At 35.8% G+C, this 24422-nt stretch overlaps 1 long non-coding RNA gene across 3 annotated transcripts in view; it reads right to left on the minus strand.

Moving 5' to 3' along the window:
- Window positions 1–19988, minus strand: part of LOC105370343 (uncharacterized) — a 37659-nt gene extending 17671 nt beyond the window's left edge. The window contains exons 1-3 of one of the 3 annotated variants that reach the window (XR_931694.3): window positions 19918–19988; window positions 4353–4508; window positions 3321–3383 (exon numbers count right to left, since the gene is read on the minus strand). This is a non-coding gene — a long non-coding RNA (uncharacterized LOC105370343). Of the gene's footprint in view, window positions 1–3320; window positions 3384–4352; window positions 4509–6263; window positions 6349–19917 lie in introns of those variants that run through there. The other 2 variants (XR_931693.3, XR_001749998.1) reach the window with 2 other exon arrangements.
- Between the last annotated feature and the right edge of the window lie 4434 nt (window positions 19989–24422).

Raw genomic sequence — 24422 nt, forward strand, 5'->3', positions numbered from 1 at the left:
TGACCCTGTATAGGCCTAGGGTGGTATGTGTGTTTGTGTCATGGTTTTTAACAAAATTTTAAAAAGTAAAAAATAAAAGTTAAAAATTTAAAGTAGAGAAAAGCTTATAACATGAGGATATAAAGAAAGAAAATATTTTTGTCCAGGTTACAATGTGTGTTTTAAGCTCAGTGTTATTACAAAATAGTAAAAAAAAGTTTACAGAATTAAAAAGTGTATAAAGTAAAAAAGTTACAGTAAGTTAAGTGTATGATTGAATAAAAACAATTTTTATAATAAACACGGTATAGCCTGTATGTACAGTGTTCATAAAGCCGACAGTCATGTCCCAGGCCATCACAACCACTCACCACTCACTCACTGACTCACTGAGAGCAACTTCAGTCCAATTAACTTCATACATGCTAAGTTCCTAGACAGGTCTACCATTTTTTAATCTTTTATGCCATGTTTTTACTGTACCTTTTCTATGTTTAAATATGTTTAAGCACATGAATGCTCACCACTGTGTTACAATTGCCTCCAGTATTCAGTCCAATAACATGCTGTACACGTTTGTAGCCTAGGAGCAGTAGGCCGTATACCACATAGCCTAGGTGCTAGGCTATCCCATCTAGGTTTATGTAAGTACACTCTTTGATGTTAGCACAAGGACAAAAATCACCTAAGGACACATTTATCAGAACACGTCTCTGTCACTAATTGCATGTCTGCACAAGGCTTATTGTCTAAAATTTCCAAAATTTTGACTCAATATATTCAAAAAAGGAGTTATTTGCAGCAATTGCATCCACTTTCTTTAGTGCCTTTATGTTTACTTCAATGCCAATTGCACAAAATTCTTCCACAAGTCTATATTACTGTTGAAAATGTCTTAAGGAAGCCATATATTTCATTGTATTGCCCCTGAAAAATGTGGGCTCTTTGAAAGCAAAATTCATGCTTTCACCCTGTATGGAACTCACGGTCTTTCCCAGGGACTGCATAAGCCTCCTCAGTACCTGATAGGAGTCTAAAGTCTGCCCAAGGAATCAATCAGTCATTTGCTAAGAAGGGGGAATAGAAAGTGAAACAAAAAGAATGAGGCTGGCAATTTTTTATAAGATTGTGGCATGGATTGATATTTATACGACTTTTTGACAATGCTACACTGTTTTGGGAAAGAATTTTATGTAGCCCAACTGCCTCCACATTTGTAATGTTCGGCATCTCTAAGACTGGGCAGGTTACCAGGTCACAGTTCCGTGACATCTGAATAAATTTCATAACCAGCTGGGGAATAGTTCACTCTTGGTTGATCCCGTAGTGGACGGTCTCTATTTATGGTTAAAAATGGAGGACAATAAATTATTTTGATTTAGTAGTTATGAGTTTAAAGTGCGCAATTTATTGTATTTTTTCTAGACCCGTAGAATAACTTCTTTTGATCCTACTAAAATCTCTTCCCTGAGGAAAAGAAATGTAGTAAGAGTTGGAAATGGACATTGGCCTTGGATAGAGACTTCTGTTTTCTAGGATGTGAGCATTATGCCAAACTTTGCTAACCTGGGTGGTCATTTTCAATGTGGACATTTTTCCAAGGAAGTAGACCGAAACCACTAAACATATTTGCTCCATGAGCTAAACCACAATAAAACAGAGGTCTCCTGTGTATAGCTTTCCTCACCCTTTGAATACAGCTCATTCTGACTTTACTTCCATAAGAAGCAAATTCCCTTTAGAAAGTTTCTCTTTGAAGGTTAAATGTAGTTGTGTAAGTGTGTGAATGCCTGTGTATCCAAATGCAATTACATGCAAGTACCTGATTAAATGATGAAATGACCATTTCTTCGGGACAGTTAAGTGTCCTCTGAGAGTTGAGGCATGCCAGACCCCCAGACTCCAGCTGGAGGATCAGTCATCACCTATCTATTGTAAATGTGAATGCATGAAACAGGCAAAATTTTGAAGTGTTATAAACCATTCATAGTAAGATTCCAAAAAATGTAGTGCTGTTGTTCTAGATGTCTATTTGAAAACAAAGTTTAGTTTTTCTGGCATTCTTACCGTTGTGACTGTCCAACATCATTTCAGACACTATACCTAATGCAGTATTTCCTTTGTCTTCATTTTTCTTCCTGTATGAAACTAGGGCTCTGTCCTTTAACCAAAGTGAAAAGGACCATGGATTGTTAGGCCAGAGAACCTACGCATCACACACAGTGGAGCGAAGTGAAATAGCTCATGAGAGATCATGATTGGCAGGCAGCAGGCCAGGAGAACCTTGATCTGCTGCTTGGCCTTGGCTGTTAGTAGCATGCCCAGCTGACTTCAAGGCAAGAGAGCATCTCATCACCACATTCCCCCTTTCTATTCCATTTGGAGGAGAGTAAAACTTTTTAAAATTTAGCATCCTATTTACATAGCACCAATGACATGATTTTTCTGCCTAATTCTGAGAAGTCAATAAAATAATCCAAATATCATGTAATTATCTATTTCTTCAGTGTACTTGGGCAGATATTTCTCCTCTTTTTGGTTCATTTGGTATATTTACATATCTATATCTATCCAGTTAGCCATATATAACCCAAAATGTACAATACTTTTCATTTCTTAAGACGCAGGTGATATATTTTAGTTTGACATATTCCCCCAAAATGTATGTACTATCTTGGATATGAAAGTTATATAAAATTTGAGTTCAAGGTGAATGTCATACTGACTTATTCTGTGAAACTGAAGAACTGCTCTCCCAGCTGCCACATTGTCCTAAATAGAATGAATCTGGTCATGTTCCTAGACGGTGCATAGAGGGGAAATTGCTCTGAAGCTATGCTGTGATGGGCAGGGCTAGAGAGACGTTCTGCTTGCAGAATTAGATATGTAAATTGACACAACCATAGGTAGTGATGATTTATCCCTGGTGATTTTAAAACTTAGATGTAAAACGAATCTACTGCATATTAATAGAAATTATATGTATTGCCTTGTTTAAAACAAAAATTGGTGTTTGTATTTTTAGTAAATGCAAATATTTTATACAACTAATTACAATATATGCTCATAATCAGATTTTATAAATGACATTTTATTCAATAGTATATATTGGACAACTGCACCTTTACAAACCCGTATGCACGTGATGTTAAATACTTAGATATCTTTGTATCATTTTACATTAAAATAAATGTTGAAGAGAAAGCCAATGAACTGAAAAGTTGAATCAATTTTAAAAGAATTACATGTTCTGCAAAACAGTAAATCAAGTAATAACATTCTAAAATTAGTTTATTTTGTCAGAATAAAAATCACGATTTTCTTCCTTAGTTTTTACCTACTATGCAAAAAGAGCCAATTTAGATCCTTCCATGATATCAATAACCATGTTGTAATTGGTGATTCTGCATGTAGAAAAAAACAAAGAGCCAAATCAATACCTGGGCAATAGAAAGTGACTTTGGTGGTGGTGGACATAATTCCCATTCAAATGGGTAAAGCAGCTCAAGGCAAAGACTATTTAATTATTGCCAGTGATGACAAATTGACCTGAACTCTACTTGTATCACATCGTCACAGCTCTCAGATTGCTGGACTGTATTGCTTCTTAATCTTTTCCAGAAATGGCAGAGTGGAATGATTTTAAGTTATTTAAACACAGGTACCTATAATTGTCTTAGAGTTTCTACTGTTCACAGAAGCCTATAGACCAATTATTATATGATCACATGAGCTTTTCTAAAACCATTTGTTTCCTCTTGTGTAATCATTCTGTAAGCATCAAAGCAGCCATAAGTATCAACCAATGATTGCTCCTCCCATTCACCACGCCCCACCCTGTCTCACATCTCACTGGTTACATCTGCAGTTCAGTGATCCAGGGAAATAAATGTTGGAAAAGAGCAATGAAATAGTCATGATAGTTCCACTTATTGAAAATAGTACTACTTCTCTCTAAATTAAGTGTGTAATTGGCAAGACTTATGTATACTCTCATAGGGATTAGTTTTTATTGATCTAATTAGGATGAAGCTTGGGAATGACTTGCCAGTCACCCTGATAGAGCAGCAGCTGCACATTATTATTTTCTTCAAACAGAAAATGGCATTAGTGGGTGAAAATAAAGCATGATATTCCAAACTTATGCTCTGTTACTGAAGGAAGAGTTTGTGAAACCAAATATCATGTTCTGATGGAAAGAGCTGTTCAGGATTTAAATTTTACCTTCTTATCAATAAGATGGGAAAAGAGGTTTCTGCATTTTATTTTCGATGGCAAGTATCATTGCACTGTTAGTGAAAGCTATATACATTTGCAGGAGACATTGTAAAATACATATAATTGTAAATCAGCCTTAAATAACTCAATTTTACCTGAAAAGACAGGTTCCTTTGCCTTTGTAGTTGATTTTAATATCTCTTGATTTTTTTTCTTTCATTCCGATCAAAGGTAGCAGAAAGAATTTCTAACAAATGTTTGCCTTCCCATGTACAAGTCAATGTTGTAGATTATCAGCAGGAATTATACTCCTAAAACAATTAGAAAGAAATGGGCAAAGATGTTTTTTATCTAATGAAATCACTACGCACAGACAATGGGTCTGAACATATTGACCCAGTTATTAGGCTAGGCCCTGTGAACACATGTGGCCGCATTCACTGATCAAACTCCATTAAGATAGTCTTACTGATTTATCCCTGGGCAATGATGAACATCCATGGACACTGAGTCAATATTTTGAAGAAGATTATAGGATAAAGTACTGGCCTTTCGTTTTTAAGATTGCATCAATTTTGAGCCATGATTCAAAGTCTCTAGCCCTGAATAAGTAGAGCTGAACTCCAAAGTACATCTTGGTACAGTTAAGATGATGAAATTAATTGGCTGAGGTTAAAGTTGTACTCATTTAAACAGAATGCAAAGAAAATACTCAGCTTGTGAGATCTTTAATGAGGACTTCTGGCATTTGAAAATGTAAAATCCAATATAAACATACATTTGTTTTTTATTATTTTTCAAAATATATTTCTGCATTTCTATTTCTGACTGATATGAAATTTATTAGCAGTTAATTTGATTAAATGTGAAAGCTGTTATATAACAATGTGCTGATATTATTTTTCTCTCCATGAAAGTTTCATTTTAATTTATATGCTCAATAACCTTTTTTTCCTTAGGATTGTTGTAAAATTTCTAATATTTGTATGATTTAGATTAATATAAGATCAAGGAAATTATTTTGTTTGTTCCTACTGTAATAGTATAGCTCAATGTTCTCTCTCTCTCTCTCTGTCTCCACATACACACACACGCATGCCTAAATATATATTGCTTTCTTTCACTTTTATTTCTCAATGTTATTGTGAAATGTGCAATTGAATTATAGAACTTTTTGTTTGAGTCATTTTGTTTTTCTTTCTTTATTGAGAAATAGTCTTGTTTGTTTATTGAGAAATAATCTTGCAGATCAGGAGGTCAGGAGATCGAGACAATCCTGGCTAACAATCTTGTTTAATCTATTGAGAAATAATCAGAACCTATGGTCTGATAGTTCATAAGAGGAAAATGCAAGTCTAAAAGAATACTTATAGCACATTCTGATAAATGAAAATAGTTTCCAAGTTTCTTTTTATGCCTATGTAAGTGCAAGTCCCCTTTAGAGGGAAGGGGTAATTGAGCGGTTTAGGGAAGAATCAGTAAGAGTTTGTCAGCCAAGAAGTAGGGAAGGTGACCCAGGACAGAAAAAGTGCAACATCTGAAGTGGGATCGTACAAGGACATGGCCACATTGTGGCTGGTAGTCGAAAAGGGTGATAACTTCAGTGAGGTATGTGGGGCCTGATCACAGAGGTCTTTCAATGCCTTATTAAGGTGATTGAATTATACTCAGAAAACAATGCACAATAGCTGAGGTCTTTTAATCAATGAAAGGACATATTCAGGTTTATTTTAGGGACAATAAACTTGTCAGCAACATGTGCAGCAGACAAAATCTAGGGAGCCTGGCAGCCTGGAAGACCGTTGAGGAGGTTGTAAAAATAGTGCAGGCAAGAGATGGGGAAACTACAGTATTTCTCTAGCTTTAAGGAAAGATTATGATGATAAATTGGAGAGATCAAATTCGGATACGTGTGTTTGTAATAAATAGATTTTGGTAATAAATCTAAATTTAGAAGGGAGGGAGAATAGCTGGGTGATGAGGACATAAAGTGACAATGGAAATGTGTGATAAATACCAGGTCTCATGGAGGAGGAAAGGAAAATACAGTGGATTAGTGTAATTACATGAGTGCTGGCTGGGCAGCCAAGGGTCGAGGTCCAGGACTGGCTCTCAGGAGAGATGCTTCAGGGGGACTAGAACTGAAGGAGGGCAGTCGTCAGAATGTAGAATGGGAGTGGAAATTCTCAGAACAATTGTTATCCTGAGACAGTGGTACCACATACGGAAGAGCAGAGCTGAGAACCCGGGTGGGCACACTGTTCAAGGCCAGGGAAAGAAAGCAGACCAACTCAAAAGTCCGAAGTGTGCTAGAAATGGAACCAAGAGAATGGTGCAGTGTAATCTCCGAACGAAGGAAACTCCAGGGGAACAGAGGCTTTCAGCTTTCAGGAATAATGTAAAAAATAAAAATTGGGCCGGGCACGGTGGCTCACGCCTGTAATCCCAGCACTTTGGGAGGCCGAGGCGGGCGGATCAGGAGGTCAGGAGATCGAGACCATCCTGGCTAACAAGGTGAAACCCCGTCTCTACTAAAAATACAAAAAATTAGCCGGGCGTGGTGGTGGGCGCCTGTAGTCCCAGCTACTCGGGAGGCTGAGGCAGGAGAATGGCGTGAACCCGGGAGGCGGAGCTTGCAGTGAGCCGAGATCGCGCCACTGCAATCCAGCCTGGGCGACAGAGCGAGACTCCGCCAAAAAAAAAAAATAATAAAAATAAAAATAAATACAAAATAAATAAAAATAAAAATTGGCCGTTGTTTCTGGTCACGAGTGACTTCAGGATGACAGGTTTCAATAGAGCAGTGGTTGTGACCTTCAGAACATTTGGCAATATTTGGAGATGTTTTCGACTGGCACGACCTGGATGTGGAAGAAGAGCTACCGTCCTGCAGTAGGTAGAGTCCAGGGATGCTGTTAATCATCTTTTCATGCACAGTCCGGCCCCAACAACAAAGAATTACCAGAATAAGAAACTGCAGCAGAGTGAGAGGATCCAGGTTCGTTCTGAATGAGTTGGACAGAGAATTTGAGTTTAGGGACAAGATAAACTAATAAAGAATACTCTCTCAAGACCAAGCAAACAACCTAAGAACTAGAAGCAATTTATGTCTAGGAGCAAACAGTGTATAGGAAAAACCAGAATAATGTACTACAATATTGAAAAACTAAAGCAGAAAATTGCTTATAAAATATTCTTATCTAAATGGCATTGTCATATGTGGATTTGGGATGAGTAGGACAATAAAAGAACTTATGCTGTAAAGATGAGATATGGGGCAATCTATGCAAGTTCAACATAAATCTTCAGCAAAAGAAATACAGATAATATAAACTTGGATTATTAATGGCATCAGAAAAATTATGGCAAAAGGAAGAGATAACTTTCATCAAGAAAGAATAAAATGCTACCCAAAGTTCAGCCTTTCATAGGTCAGAAATAAAGAATATAGAAGGAGAGTTATAAAGATATAGAAAATAATCCAATCACAGGCAAGATCCAGACATATGTGGTACCTTGGAGTCAGCTAGGTTTGACACATTAATCTAATAGAGGTAAAGTCATCAGGATCACCCTTCCTTCCAGGATGAGGGATGCCTGGGTTATGAGATTAGGCAGAGCAATCCAAGTCCCAACACTCCCCAACAATGCAACCTTGGACACATTGCTTACTCTTTTCAAGGGGATCTGGTTTCTCTTTGGATTTGAAAGGGAAAGTTGCAAAGTTTTACTTAAGCCTTCTCTTTTCCCTCAACTACCCTGAAGACTTATTGCCCTGCTATTGATCTTCCAAGGTCCAAAACCAGTGTCTTAAAATGCTTTCTGCTCCCAAATATTACCTAAAGTTCTATTATACCTCATTAAAATTGACATCCCTTGGGTGTTGATCGGCTTGAAATAACATTTTATTGTAACTCATCATAAATTATATGATTTCAACGAAGAGATGGAAAATACAGCTAGCCAGAAGTGTTCTTTTTATTTTATTTTATTATTATTATACTTTAAGTTTTAGGGTACATGTGCACAATGTGCAGGTCAGTTACATATGTATACATGTGCCATGCTGGTGTGCTGCACCCATTAACTCGTCATTTAGCATTAGGTATATCTCCTAATGCTATCCCTCCCCCCTCCCCCCACCCCACAACAGGCCCCAGAGTGTGATGTTCCCCTTCCTGTGTCCATGTGTTCTCATTGTTCAATTCCCACCTATGAGTGAGAATATGCGGTGTTTGGTTTTTTGTTCTTGCGATAGTTTACTGAGAATGATGATTTCCAATTTCATCCATGTCCCTACAAAGGACATGAACTCATCATTTTTATGGCTGCATAGTATTCCATGGTGTATATGTGCCACATTTTCTTAATCCAGTCTATCATTGTTGGACATTTGGGTTGGTTCCAAGTCCTTGCTATTGTGAATAGAGCCGCAATAAACATACGTGTGCATGTGTCTTTATAGCAGCATGATTTATAGTCCTTTGGCTATATACTCAGTAATGGGATGGCTGGGTCAAATGGTATTTCTAGTTCGAGATCCCTGAGGAATCGCCACACTGACTTCCACAATGGTTGAACTAGTTTACAGTCCCACCAGCAGTGTAAAAATGTTCCTATTTCTCCACATCCTCTCCAGCACCTGTTGTTTCCTGACTTTTTAATGATTGCCATTCTAACTGGTGTGAGATGGTATCTCATTGTGGTTTTGGTTTGCATTTCTCTGATGGCCAGTGATGGTGAGCATTTTTTCATGTGTTTTTTGGCTGCATAAATGTCTTCTTTTGAGAAGTGTCTGTTCATGTCCTTTGCCCACTTTTTGATGGAGTTGTTTGTTTTTTTCTTGTAAATTTGTATGAGTTCATTGTAGATTCTGGATATTAGCCCTTTGTCAGATGAGTAGGTTGCGAAAATTTTCTCCCATTTTGTAGGTTCCCTGTTCACTCTGATGGTAGTTTCTTTTGCTGTGCAGAAGCTCTTTAGTTTAATTAGATCCCATTTGTCAATTTTGTCTTTTGTTGCCATTGCTTTTGGTGTTTTAGACATGAAGTCCTTGCCCATGCCTGTGTCCTGAATGGTAATGCCTAGGTTTTCTTCTAGGGTTTTTATGGTTTTAGGTCTAATGTTTAAGTCTTTAATCCATCTTGAATTAATTTTTGTATAAGGTGTAAGGAAGGGATCCAGTTTCAGCTTTCTACATATGGCTAGCCAGTTTTCCCAGCACCATTTATTAAATAGGGAATCCTTTCCCCATTTCTTGTTTTTGTCAGGTTTGTCAAAGATCAGACAGTTGTAGACATGCGGCGTTATTTCTGAGGGCTCTGTTCTGTTCCATTGATCTATATCTCTGTTTTGGTACCAGTATCATGCTGTTTTGGTTACTGTAGCCTTGTAGTATAGTTTAAAGTCAGGTAGCGTGATGCCTCCAGCTTTGTTCTTTTGGCTTAGGATTGACTTGGCGATGTGGGCCCTTTCCTGGTTCCATATGAACTTTAAAGTAGTTTTTTCCAATTCTGTGAAGAAAGTCTTTGGTAGCTTGATGGGGATGGCATTGAATCTATAAATTACCTTTGGCAGTATGGCCATTATCATGATATTGATTCTTCCTACCCATGAGCATGGAATGTTCTTCCATTTCTTTGTATCCCCTTTTATTTCACTGAGCAGTGGTTTGTAGTTCTCCTTGAAGAGGTCCTTCACGTCCCTTGTAAGGTGGATTCCTAGGTATTTTATTCTCTTTGAAGCAATTGTGAATGGGAGTTCACTCATGATTTGGCTCTCTGTTTGTCTGTTATTGGTGTATAAGATGCTTGTGATTTTTGTACATTGATTTTGTATCCTGAGACTTTGCTGAAGTTGCTTATCAGCTTAAGGAGATTTTGGGCTGAGACAATGGGGTTTTCTAGATATACAATCATGTCATCTGCAAACGGGGACAATTTGACTTCCTCTTTTCCTAATTGAATACCCTTTATTTCCTTCTCCTGCCTAATTGCCCTGGCCAGAACTTCCAACACTATGTTGAATAGGAGTGGTGAGAGAGGGCATCCGTGTCTTGTTCCAGTTTTCAAAGGGAATGCTTCCAGTTTTTGCCCCTTCAGTATGATATTGGCTGTGGGTTTGTCATAGATATCTCTTATTATTTTGAGATACGTCCCATCAATACCTAATTTATTGAGAGTTTTTATCATGAAGTGTTGTTGAATTTTGTCAAAGGCCTTTTCTGCATCTATTGAGATAATCATGTGGTTTTTGTCTTTAGTTCTGTTTATATGCTGGATTACATTTATTGATTTGCGTATATTGAACCAGCCTTGCATCCCAGGGATGAAGCCCACTTGATCATGGTGGATAAGCTTTTTGATGTGCTGCTGGATTCGGTTTGCCAGTATTTTATTGAGGACTTTTGCATCAATGTTCATCAAGGATATTGGTCTAAAATTCTCTTTTTTGGTTGTGTCTCTGCCCAGCTTTGGTATCAGGATGATGCTGGCCTCATAAAATAAGTTAGGGAGGATTCCCTCTTTTTCTATTGATTGGAATAGTTTCAGAAGGAATGGTACCAGTTCCTCCTTGTACCTCTGGTAGAATTCGGCTGTGAATCCTTCTGGTCCTGGACTCTTTTTGGTTGGTTAGCTACTGATTATTGCCACAATTTCAGAGCCTGTTATTGGTCTATTCAGAGATTCAACTTCTTCCTGGTTTAGTCTTGGGAGGGTGTATGTGTTGAGGAATTTATCCGTTTCTTCTAGATTTTCTAGTTTATTTGCATAGAGGTGTTTGTAGTATTCTGTGATGGTAGTTTGTATTTCTGTGGGATCAGTGGTGATATCCTCTTTATCATTTTTTATTGCATCTATTTGATTCTTCTCTCTTTTCTTCTTTATTAGTCTTGCTAGAGGTCTATCAATTTTGTTGATCCTTTCAAAAAACCACCTCCTGGATTCATTAATTTTTTGAAGGGTTTTTTGTGTCTCTATTTCCTTCAGTTCTGCTCTGATTTTAGTTATTTCTTGCCTTCTGCTAGCTTTTGAATGTGTTTGCGCTTGCTTTTCTAGTTCTTTTAATTGTGATGTTAGGGTGTCAATTTTGGATCTTTCCTGCTTTCTCTTGTGGTCATTTAGTGCTATAAATTTCCCTCTACACACTCCTTTGAATGTGTCCCAGATGTTAAAGTCTCCCATTATTATTGTGTGGGAGTCTAAGTCTCTTTGTAGGTCGCTCAGGACTTGCTTTATGAATCTGGGTGCTCCGGTATTGGGTGCATATATATTTGGGATAGTTAGCTCTTCTTGTTCAATTGATCCCTTTACCATTATGTAATGGCCTTCTTTGTCTCTTTTGATCTTTGTTGGTTTAAAGTCTGTTTTATCAGAGACTAGGATTGCAACCCCTGCCTTCTTTTCATTTTCCATTTGCTTGGTAGATCTTCCTCCCTCCTTTTATTTTGAGCCTATGTGTGTCTCTGCACGTGAGATGGGTTTCCTGAATACAGCACACTGATGGGTCTTGACTCTTTATCCAATTTGCCAGTCTGTGTCTTTTAATTGGAGCATTTAGTCCATTTACATTTAAAGTTAATATTGTTATGTGTGAATTTCATCCTGTCATTATGACGTTAGCTAGTTATTTTGCTCGTTAGTTGATGCAGTTTCTTCCTAGCCTTGATGGTCTTTACAATTTGGCATGATTTTGCAGTGGCTGGTACCGGTTGTTCCTTTCCATGTTTAGTGCTTCCTTCAGGAGCTATTTTTCTCCCAGCACAGAGTATTATTTTTTCCTTCCATCATATTGAAAACCTTTGTAGGAATGTGTACATACTGTCAAATGCTCCTCAGCCTGATGCGCTTGTTTTTACCTCATACCTAGTTCCAATTTACTCTTTGTATTGCCTGCCTTGTCCCTGCATGTACTTGAATAATTGATGCATAGCTTAACCCAGACCTTCTCAACAGCAAATGTGTATAAGAATCACCTGGAGATCTTGTTAAAATTACATGTTCTTGTTCTGTAGGTCTGGAGTAGGCTGAGATTCATCATTTTCAGGAGCTCCAGGCAATGGTGATGGTTCTGGACCAATAAATGGCCATTTCTGGAGTAGCAAGCATTTAATGCTTTCAAAGGGCGTGCTGATTCTGCTTGGAATCTGTCACTCAAATACATCAACAATTAGAGGTGGCCAGGCGCAGTGGCTCACCCCCGTAATCCCAGCACTTTGGGAGGCTGAGGCGGGCGGATCACAGTGTCAAGTGTTCGGGACCAGCCTGGCCAACATGGTGAAACCCATCTCTACTAAAAATACAAAAATTCTCCTGCCTCAGCCTCCTGAGTAGCTGTAATCTGTTTAGTAACCCATTGCTGTAACTTCACCCCAAAATATTCTTTGCTGATTAATGAAAAAAATTTAGGACAAATTCATTCATGCTTCTAAGCCAATGTTTGTTAAATGTCTACTTTATGTTAGGTACTTTTCTAACTGGTAGAGTGTAGACAGTAAAAAATAAAGTTTTTTCCTTTATGACTTTTTACGGTAGCTGATTGAAACAGGCCTATATTCTGTCCAATGGTATTGAAGGCTATTAAGAAAAAGAAAACATGAACAGAGCAGAAGCCAAGGAAAGTCAATCTGAGACCTGTATACAATGAGAAGACAGCAAGCCACATGGCCAGAGGGTGAAAGACCATTCCGTGCACAGGGGAGAGCCAGTGCAAAGTGCTGAGGTGAAGTGATGCTCTGGGAACACCAGAGTTGCTGAAAGTGTCCAAACAGAAAAGGTCAAGATAGGGAGGGCTCAGAAAACTGGTCAGAGCTGTCATCTGGAGGGAGTGCAGGGAGAGGAGAAAAGTTGTCTAATAACTGAAGCTAGCAGCCCTCTGCAAAAATATAAAATATACATAAAATACAGAATATGAATAAAATGTAGAATTTGTTATCTTGAAAGATTTGGGAGGTGTAGGCATTATAATTTGCATAGTAGTATAGATTATGTTATCTCATCACCACAGTCCTTTGAAATAGGGTATTATCATAATCTTACAGCTGACTGAGCTACAAAAGTTAATGGGTGGCATGTTCCACTATTGACGTCATAACCCACAGTGTCCTTCCTAACACCAGCTCCCTTAGCTCATTCCTAAGGACTGGCCAGGCAGATGGAACAAGAGAAAGGAACCAATACATTCATTCCTTTTAAATGCATAATTCTACATCTAAGAACAATATAGAAAAACTTTCAAAAGACACCCACGGTCCATCTTCTTATTCTGTCTTTTAACGTTCCATAGGTTATGGTAGGTGGAGAGGGAGAGAGTGAGGCCAATAACAGCCTCCTAGCCAAGTCTGGGCAAAGACCATCTGCCACCAGGGCCAGAAGCCAGGGGAAACCACGTGTTTCCACCTGGAAACACCCAGGCTGAATTCAAATGAGAACTGATGCCCACCTGTGCCTAGCAGACATGTACCACATGTCTGTCTTGTAATTACACACTGGGGATGGACCAGTAATATCAGCCAGCATCCCAGCCAGTCATTATCCTACAAGACTGTCCCTACACACTCTGTACCATAAAGCTTTATTCATCATTTTCCTGAGCCTCAAAGGGTGGACTGCTTGCCTTTGAAATCTGGTACAATGGTAAGTCCACAGAACAGAATATTATCGCAGATACCTTGAGGCTTGGTGGTGGAAAGAAAATCCCCAGATTGGCCAAGTTGTAACAAAATGAAGCCAAGTTGTAACAAAATTCAAGCTTCCCACCTGTGGGGTTGTAGTGAAAGACCTTCCCGCTCCTTTTCCACACTCTACTCCCTGCACCTTTGCTATAAAAGTGGCAGACTTGAGGTTTTCACCCAGACTTTCCACACCTTCTGGTTTTTCCTTTGTGCCATCTGACTTCAATGATAAATTAATAATTTTAAAAATCATAAAGTGGTAGAATATTTTATCCACAGAAATTATACCATTCTTTAATAAGCCTCATCTTTGTACTACCCTGGCTAATACATAGGCTAGTAAAATAAGAATAACAACAATAACAAGCAGCATTTGTTAAGTGCCTGGTGTGTGTGAGTTGAGGTTCTACTCATTTGCCATGAATTCCTCGTTCAATCACGCGTCTTCCCTCCCACTCTCTATGCTTCAGTCACACGAGGCTGCCTTGGGCTCCTTGAAAGTTGCCAAGCTCACTTCTGTCTTAGAGAGTTTACACTTGCTCTTCTCCCCTAGTGAAGAAAAATATATTCTGCGTTCTTCACAAGGCTTTTTTTTTCCATCCTTTTTATTTCAACTCAAAGCTCACCTAATCAAGAGGTTCTTTCTGATGCTTAAAATGATCTCTATTCTGGTCAATTTGTATCACATTACCCTATTTCATATTTTTTCACTGTCCCTCTCTATGAAATTATGTTTTATTTATTATCTGTCTGTATGTATCATCTATATAAGTAGAGGTAGACGATCTTCATGACAACATAAGTATCTAGACAGCACGGACAAGTCTATGTTGTAACTATCAGGGAAATGTAATTAAAAACTAGAGAAAATACCATTTTATATCCACTAAGGTGACTAGAATCAGAAGATAGATAATAACAAGTGTTGGTGAAGATGTGAAAAATTACAACCTTCATGTTGTGCTGAGGGGAAAGTAAAATGGCAACTGTTTTAGATAATAGTCTGGCAGTTCCTCTAAAGTTTAAATATGGAATGACCAAGCTACTCTGAAATTTCAGTCCTAGGTACATATACAAGAGGAATGGAAACATACATCCACACAAAGAAAAGTTTCGCATGAATATTCATAGCAGCATTAGTCATAGCAGCCAACAAGCGAAAATAGCTCAAATGTCCATCAAGTGATGAATGGATAAATAAAATGTGCTATACATGCAATGTTATATTATTTGACAATTTAAAAAAAGTATTGTAAATGCTATAGCATGCATAAACCTTGAAAAAATTACACTAAGAGGAAGAAGACAGTCACATACCACCACATATTGTATGTGTTTATTTGAAATGTACAGAATAAGCAAATTCATAGAGAAAGGCAGAAGATTGGTAGTTGTCCAAGTCTGGGAGTTGGCTGGGAAATGACTGCTCATGAGAATGGGGTTTCTTTGGAGGATGATAAAATTTTCTAAAATTCATTGTTGTAATGGTTGCACAACCTCTGAATATACTCTAAAGTATACCATAAACGGATGGGATTTGTTATATGAGTTGCATCTCAATACAGGTAGAATAAAAATAGAGTCACAGTGAATGAGTGGACTTTTATCATCATTCCTTTGCCCAAAGGTAGAACCATTTTCCATTTATCTTTTCTATTTCTTGGCTTCTCAATAAGAGTACCTTTCAAGGTGAGTTGTCAGTAAAATCATCTAAAATGTGGTTAGTTGGTAAGATTGCAGTTAAAGCCTAACTAACCACTTTCTGATTTAATTTCAAAATGTGAGTTAAAAATAACTTTTTACTGGCAAAACCTACATGATTATTTTGTATCATATCTGTATTAATTTTCATATATTTAAATTACTGTGTATCTGATTTTATTTAGGCATGTAATAATCTCTAAGGTTATATGGTATGTATCAGCACAAATTTGCCTGAATGGAAAATCATCCCTGTTCTGTAGTAAAATACAATCTGAATGATGCGTCCTGTCTGCAGGTTGGTTTTGCTGGACATCTTGAACTGCTTTCAAGCACTCGAAGTTAAAGCACCGAATGCCCCTTTTGGAATGACTTCTCCCTTGATTTTTACAACCTTGTGTATTTTAATGGAAACTTAATCCATGTGTTTTTGAATCATTTACACTTAAATCATCAAAACACCCGGTCTTTTAGAGCGATTTGATATCCATGAAGGCTATTGAGACTTTCTGATAATCCTTTAAGGCTCTTTAAAAAAAAGAAAGAAACCAGGAAGTTGTGCTTTTCTCAGAATAAACTAAAATCCTGGGGAGTTCACTTTCCATGTGTTCTAAATTTGTCCAAACAAGTTCTCTCATCTGTAGGTAGAGTAACAAGTAAGGTGCTGGCAACATGCTCACCATAAGTAAAAGTGCAGAAGCTTTTGATGAGACACGGAGCGTGTGTAATTCAGTGTACATTTTACAGCCCTCATGGGCTTTTAGACCTTTTCATCCTAATGAAAAGATCTGAAAATATTAATTTGCATTACTGCAGATGCTGTTACTTGTCTAGCTTTATTTTTCCATATTTGAATGTGTTACCACTTACTCAATAATATTAGGTACGTTATTGCTCTTTATTTGCAAAGTGCTCAGTAATCCTTTCAAATTTATTTTTTCACAGGAGGTGTAAATTTTTTTACATGGGGTGTAAAAAAATCACCGTGCATTTTATATATCACTGATTCCATAAAAATGCTTTTTCCACTCAGTTATATTCATAGGAGATAAAAGTACTGCTAATATTATATGAGAAAACATAGCTTTGATATAAAATACTGTAATTTTTAAAGTTAGTGGTTTCTTTCAGCCTGTATATTTTCATAGTTAAATTGGTTTTGCTCTTGATTCATCTTATGCATTAAAGATGCATTAATTGATTCTTCATTGCCTTGAATCTTCCTTTTCTCACTTTTCCAAAACGAAATACATAATCCTGTACTTACTTATTCAGGTCCATATGGATTGCTTACTATCATTTCATCCCAAGTGTCCATTTGCAGTTCAATTTCCCTTTTTTAGAAGGTTACTTGATCTGACAATGAATAGCTTGGTTTTACATAATTATTACTTTCCTAAGTAGATCATGTAAGAGTGCTCCATGTGATATAAAGATATTTTTCTAGAATATGTTCTGAAGTCTTTTCCTGTTGAATACCATCCAGAATTTTTAAAGCCTTGAATGTATGTTTACTTTTACATAACTTAAGTTCAATGTCAAAAAAAAAAACAAATGGATTTTTGTTTTTCTTTAAGTAATTAAAATCTACATTGTATGTTCAAATGGATTAGATAGTCATGAGGTTGAACCAAATTGAAATCAATCTAATTTTTATGTAGAGCTTTCTTTGAAGTGCTGTTAGACATGTACTCTTTAATGGAAAGGACTTTTACTACTTGAAAATTATCAATAAGCTCAACATGCACACCAGTTAACCTTTGCCCTTCTCTTTGTATGACTAGAAAACATCACAATTATTTCTCAAAAATACATGGAAACATTATACTTTGAAAAACAATCAATATGTTATGATAGTCTAAAGTAAATAACTTCAACCCTAAATTAGGTTGTTTTAATATGTTTTTAAATTGACTAAAATCTATGATTATAAAAATACATGGAATTTCAGAGCTGTTGTTATTTTTAGTTATCAGATCTCACCAAATATTGCCTTATATACTGGAATGAAGAAGTAAGTTCATTATCTTTAAACTACTAAGTCCCTGAGATATATTAGTGGAGTTCATTGCAGTGACCATTTCCATATATCTAGTTGCAAAAATATAGCTTTGTTTACAATCCTATAGCATACTGATGCAGTAAATATTTATTTGTATTAAATGGTTTTCTATTTTATTTTTATAACATGAGGAGCACGAACTTTTAGTTATATAATGTAGTGAGTGAGTTCGAATGTCTGGATTATTGGTCACTTTCTCTTCCTCAATAGATTTTACATTGTAAATTCTAAGTTAAGTTGCTTAGATTAAAACCTACTGTTGAGGAGGCATGTGACCATGTAGGGATATATCTTTCAATGTGCTACTTATTTAAGTTCAATGGCTAATGATATCCCTGGATGTCTTATAATTGATGAAAAACACTCAGTGATACTTGTTTGCTCTAGAGGTTACTTGAATGGACAATTTCTGGTGACTATTTGTCCACATTTGGTAAAAGAAATACTGACATCATTTGTAAAAATATTTAAAATTTTTACATGGATTTTAATAAATAGATATTTTATTTTAAGGAAAAGAACTTCATCTTTAAGCAAAATAAATATTTATTTTAGCCCCAAGAGTGGTGGCAGCCATCAGTAACACAAATCTCTCCTTAGGTGCTTGCCAGTTGGTAGGAATTCACAGAGAGAAAGTTGAGGCAATAACTGAAATTATTTTGGCTACAATAATTTTTCAGAAGACATTATGCTATTGTGCTTCCATTGTGGTTGGCAATCTCTTTCTCTTTCCCTCTCTATTTTTTTCTCTAAATGCTTATTGGTCATAATGCATGTGTGACTGTCAGTGATGGAGCCCATGCTTATTTCTGAAGCCTCGTGGCATTTATTCAAGAAACTTTAGTTTGAAAACTGGCATTTTACTAATTTGTCTGAACTTAAAATGTGTATAATGAACAAATGATGTTTACTTGCTTTATATAAGTAAGCGTTTATAAATAAAAAGTAGATTTTCTGTCTTGTTATGTCTCAGAGAAGGATGTTAAGAAGTGCCAGTGTTAGATTAGCCAAGATCACGTCATTGCACTCCAGCCTGGGCAACAAGAGCAAAACTCCATCTCAAAACAAAACAAAAGTTCCTGTGTTATAACTATTTAAATATTTATAGTCTAAAACATTTTTATATTGGTTTTCTTAGGTCCAGTGTTAAAAGATATTTCTTTGCATTGTTCTCATGATGGAATATTGAGGGTAAGTTAAAATAATACGTATAGTACTTTCATTTTACCACAACCATTTATGCACATATTTAAGAGCTTATCTAATAATGAATTCTTAAGCTGTTTTGTAGAAATAAGCTTTTCCATTCTGATAGCTTTTCCTTTTGCTGCCCTGCCTGCACACGCGGATCCATGTTTTCTCCAAGCTATTTGCAAATGTGCAAGCCATCTGCAGCTGAGTGATAAGTGGAGTGCAGGAATATGTATCCTGTGTTTGGTCCCCATTGGCCACTTATTACTCTTATATTGTTTTAATTATAAAGACTGATCTTCATTGTGACTCTTATACGGCATTTGTATGTTGAAATGTAGCCTCAAATATTCATGTACTTTTAAATTGCTCTATAATTTTTGAGAGATATTAATCTGAGATTAATTTTGGGTATCACTAAGTGTGGTCGGAGTGGGTTTTTGCCGCATAGTGGTACTGAAACTGGAAGTTACATTTCAATGTTAACTGACTGTTACTTGACAAGTAAACAAGTTTAATTGTGTTATTCACCTCATTGACTTTAATGAGTCAATAATAGATGTAATAGGCACCTCAGGACCAGATGGCATAGGGTAAAAAGTCCCCATGAAATACCATTTTTTCATCTCAAGTATCTGATAAATATGTTAACTTCCTGCATTATGGCAATTGTTGAAATTTCTTAGCAGCTGGTCAGTTACTCTACACTGCAGGGGCCATCGGGTGCTGTTTATAGATTACGTTCTCGGTTTTTTATTTGTACAGAGAGTGAGGGTGAAAAAACACTTTCTTTCTGAAGTGTAATACAATATCATAATTGAATAATTGTATAAAATTTCCTTATTCAATTAAGCAAAATTTTGGGGGAATAACTTTGAAATGGATTATGCAATCCGCTATCCTCTAACTTGCATACACATTATGTTGCTGTGAACTGGTAAAGTGACAGTGATGTATATCCTGGAGGGAGCCATCTTCAACTGAAGCAGTGGATTGGTCTTTAGTCTTTACATCAGTGGGCTGCTTTGTGAATAGTAATTAGAGTTGTTCCTTTCTTAATAACATTTTTTAAAATAAAAATCCGAATATTTACCCTTTGTGTGATCTCTAAAAGCTCATCCTCCAGTTAATGTTAAACTGCTGCCTTAGTAACCAGGGAAATGCTTTTTAAAATTTTGTATTTCATTATGTTCCTGGAAGAGCAACCTTGTCAGTTTAATATGACGTCACAATAGAATTCCGATTTCCTCTGATAAGAACTTTACAATGAAGAAATGGCCCATGCATATTCAAAAGTTTATACCACATTGAATATTATTGAGTTTTATGAGAACAACCTATTAAAGCCTCTCCTCAGCTTATCTTTATCACTAAAATTTATGACTTATTCCCACCTACTTAACACTTAAAATCTTATTTGCAGCTTTGTGCTGTTCTATGTAGTACACTGCACAATTGGCATACTGTATTTGACAACAGAATAGCAAAACCAGATTTACTGCCCGCCTACCAGAGGGCATCTTTGAAGATATTTTGTTTGAGAAGATACCTTCATATTACTTGTTTTCTTTGGTGGCGAATGAGACTTTTATTTTCTTGGCTTAGGTAGACTCAAGTTGTTTTCCTAAGTATGTAAAAAACACTATTCTTCATCATAAACGACAACTTAACATTTTGTCCTGGAGAATTAAATCCAACTCCTGGAAATAGAAAAGTAAGTAATTCAGAAAAGCTCTCCTACTAAGAAAAATTATATTTTAAAAAAACCCTGAAACATCTTTTTTAAAAAACATCTGTAGAAATGTCTTGAGGCCGGGGGTGGTGGCTCACGCCTGTAATCCCAGCACTTTGGGAGGCCGAAGCGGGCGGATCATGAGGTCAGGAGATCGAGACCATCCTGGCTAACACGGTGAAACCCCGTCTCTACTAAAAATACAAGAAATTAGCCGGGTGTGGTGGCGGGCGCCTGTAGTCCCAGCTACTCGGGAGGCTGAGGCAGGAGAATGGCGTGAACCCGGGAGGCGGAGCTTGCCGTGAGCCGAGATCGCGCCACTGCCCTCCAGCCTGGGTGAAAGAGCGAGACTCCATCTCAAAAAAAAAAAAAAAAAAAAAGAAAAGAAATGTCTTGAAAAATTCCCAAGATCCACTATAACTTAAAGGACGTGCAGCCTTTGAGTCCTCAGGGGGAAGCTGGTGATTGCAGAGGATAATGCTGAGACACTGGAGTCACAAGCAGAGTTTTCACAGCCCCTGGTCCAGAGACAAAAATATAAGTTCCAAATGCACTAAAAATTGAGATGCTCTGATAAACTAACCTATATTTAATTTGATATCCTAAAAAAATCTTACAATAAAAATAAATGGAACAAGAAATATTGGCAGCTCTGGTGATCATTGGGACCCTACTGTTGCTTGAGATTATTTCACATAAAACTTCCATTGTCCACAGGCCTCTTACCAGAAAAAAAAAAAACTTTCTGAAGGAACATAAAACATTTCCTTATACCTGAAACTATTTCTCAAAATATTTTTAACAATGTACTGCACAAATTAGACAAAGAGACAAAGAACTGTTTTTTATTTTATTGTATTTATTATTTTTATATACTTTTATTTTTTTTTTGAGTCAGAGTCTCATTCTGTCACCCAGGCTGGAGTGCAGTGGTGCAATCTCGGCTCACTGCAACTTCCACCACCCGGGAAAGAACCACTTTTTTAAAGAGAAAAAAGAGAAAGAGATGAGAGATAATGGACATATCACATACAAATTTTAAAGTAACTATTTTTAATATTTTCAACAAAATAAAATGGCTGATTAAGAATTTCCACAGATAACTAAAAACTGTAGAAAAATAAATCAAATTTCCATTTGTATAACAGAATGATAAAAGTAGATGTAATTAAATACACAAAAATGTATTTAGCAGTGGGGTGGATATGAGTAAACAGAGAATGAGTGAACTAGATGACATAAAGAATATATACACCTCCCAAAAAACAGAAAAGTTAAAGAATAACAAATATTAAAAGATTGCAGAGGGAGAGGAAATATGGTAAAAAGAGGTTAATTATACAGATAATTAGAGCTACATGATGCAAGAAAATAGAATAAAATAGAAGACATATTTCAAAAGCAATGACAAAATTTGTAAAACCAATGAAAGTTATCAGGAAAGTTTTAATAGCACTTCATCACTATTATCCATATATATAGTATATATATAGATATACATATCTATCTAACATATACCATCTGTATATCTGTATTGATATATATTTTCTAGATATCTATACATCTAGGTATATAAATATATATGGGTATATATATATATATATATATATATATATATATATTCCTTCACATTATATTAAAACTCTTAAGAAGCAGAAAGTATGACAGAAAGATCTTAGAAACATCGAGACATTGTATCCTCAAAGAAACATAGTAAAACTAGATCGCATTTCTCAACTAAAACAGTGGAAAGTACATGACAATGCGATTATATTTTAACTGTTCCAAAAAAAAAAGAAAGCAAACAAAACAAAAAATGAGAATCTATCAGCCACACCATTTATAATACACTTTAGATATATTTGTACAAGTGAAAATGGAGACTAAGTCCTCACCAGCAGAAAGAATCATACTAAAAGATCTACCAAATAAATTCTTCAAAATTACCTACGTGGAAACTCAGAGATAAAGAGTAAAGTAAGAAATTCAAAAACTTGTAAACAAGTTGTGTGCATTTACAGAAGAATCTGTAATGGTTTTCACAAAAGTAAGGATGTGATTCTCAAATTACACATAGTACCAAAATACAAGATAAAACTTTCTGACGCATTTGGGGATGGAAATGTATTTAAATTGTTTGGAGGCCACGTGGAGTATTTACAAAATTGACCCATTTCTAAACCAGTGCTTGTCTAGCATTGGAAATTTTTCCCACATCAGGAGACATTTAACGAAGTGTGGAGACATTTTGATTGTCATGACTTGGTAGAGAGGTGTGTGCTACCAGAACTTGATAGGTGAAGCCAGGAAGACCGCTAAACACACTGCAATACACGATACCACCCCACAATAAAGAATTATTTTACCCAAAATATTAATAGTGCTATGGTAGAAAATCAGTCTTCTAGCCCATGAATTGAATTGTCATCAAAGTATAAAATAATGAAATTATATAAAATACACCCTATTAACAGTATGTAATTAAGCTTAAAAAAGTAACACAAAGGTAACTGTGAAAAATCCCCGTCTGCTTGAAAATTATATACTGTACTTTTCAATAGTCCATGAAACAAAGAAGAAAAGTTGATAGAAATCAATATATTTAGAATTAAAAATTGTTTAAGATGCAGATTTCCAAATGTGCAAAATAGAATTAAAGTTGAGTTCGGAGAAAAGAGAAATATAGCTTTTAATGCATCTAATGGGAAAAATACAGAATGAATAAATTAATATTTAAAAGTTAGAAAAAGTGTAAGGAATTACTTCAAAGAAAACAAAGGAAACCAAACAATAAAGAGAACTGAATAGGACTGAAAAAAGTATGAGTTTTAAACTATTTTTGAAAAAAGTATATGAATTTAAAACTATTTATGATTTTAAAAAACAGCAAAAAATGAGAGAATTTTATGTGATAAAGTATCTACAACTGGGGATCAAAAAGTACTGGAAACATTTAAAATAAGAGAGAAGGCAAAACAAAGCAGTATTAGAAAACAGGACATCATCATAGACTCTGCAGTAATTGAAAAGACAATGAGAAGACATTGTAGCAAATTTTACATAAATCATGCTGAAAATTGAGGTGAAATGAACAAATTTCTAGAAAGACAATTTACAAAATATGACAGAAGTAGAATATTTAATCCTTTATCAAAAATAATGAATAATGAATCTAAAGTTGAAACCTTTTTATTTAGAAAACTGAAGGTATATGACTTTGCTGCTGAAATCCAACAAATGCTAAGGCAAGATATAATGCCAGTTTTACATAAAATATTGATAGAAAACTCTAATAAGTGATAATACTTCCAGATATATAAGTTCAAAACAACTTTACAGTTTAATTACAGGAAAGGTAAATCACTGACAAATATCGGTCATAAATAATAAATTATAAACAAAATTACTTTTGCAGTATATACAAATTATGCTATATCATGATCAAGTAGGATTCATTTCAGAAAGGTAATATTATTTAACATCCTAATATCACTCAGTGTAAGTCACTAATGGGAACAAAGCAAAATTTAAAAACTGTGTGATTATTACCTTAACAGATAAGGAATAAAGTAGTTTAGAAAAAAATGTGTATGTGTATCAATTTATATTAATAGCTTTTAGAAAACTAAGGATAGAATGCTGTATCCTTGATCTACCAAAGGGTATCTACTAATCACCCAGAGAAAACATTTTACTTAATGCTAAGATGTTAATTGATTTCTCCTTGACATACCAATTATATACAATATTGTGCACAATTACATAATACTAGACTGAGACTATACTAGACTGAGACTAGACTGAGACTAGACTAGACTGAGACTGGGTATCTACTAATCACCCAGAGAAACATTATACTTAATGAT

Source organism: Homo sapiens, chromosome 13 (assembly GCF_000001405.40).
Source record: "Homo sapiens chromosome 13, GRCh38.p14 Primary Assembly".
NCBI classification, from domain to species: Eukaryota; Metazoa; Chordata; class Mammalia; order Primates; family Hominidae; genus Homo; species Homo sapiens.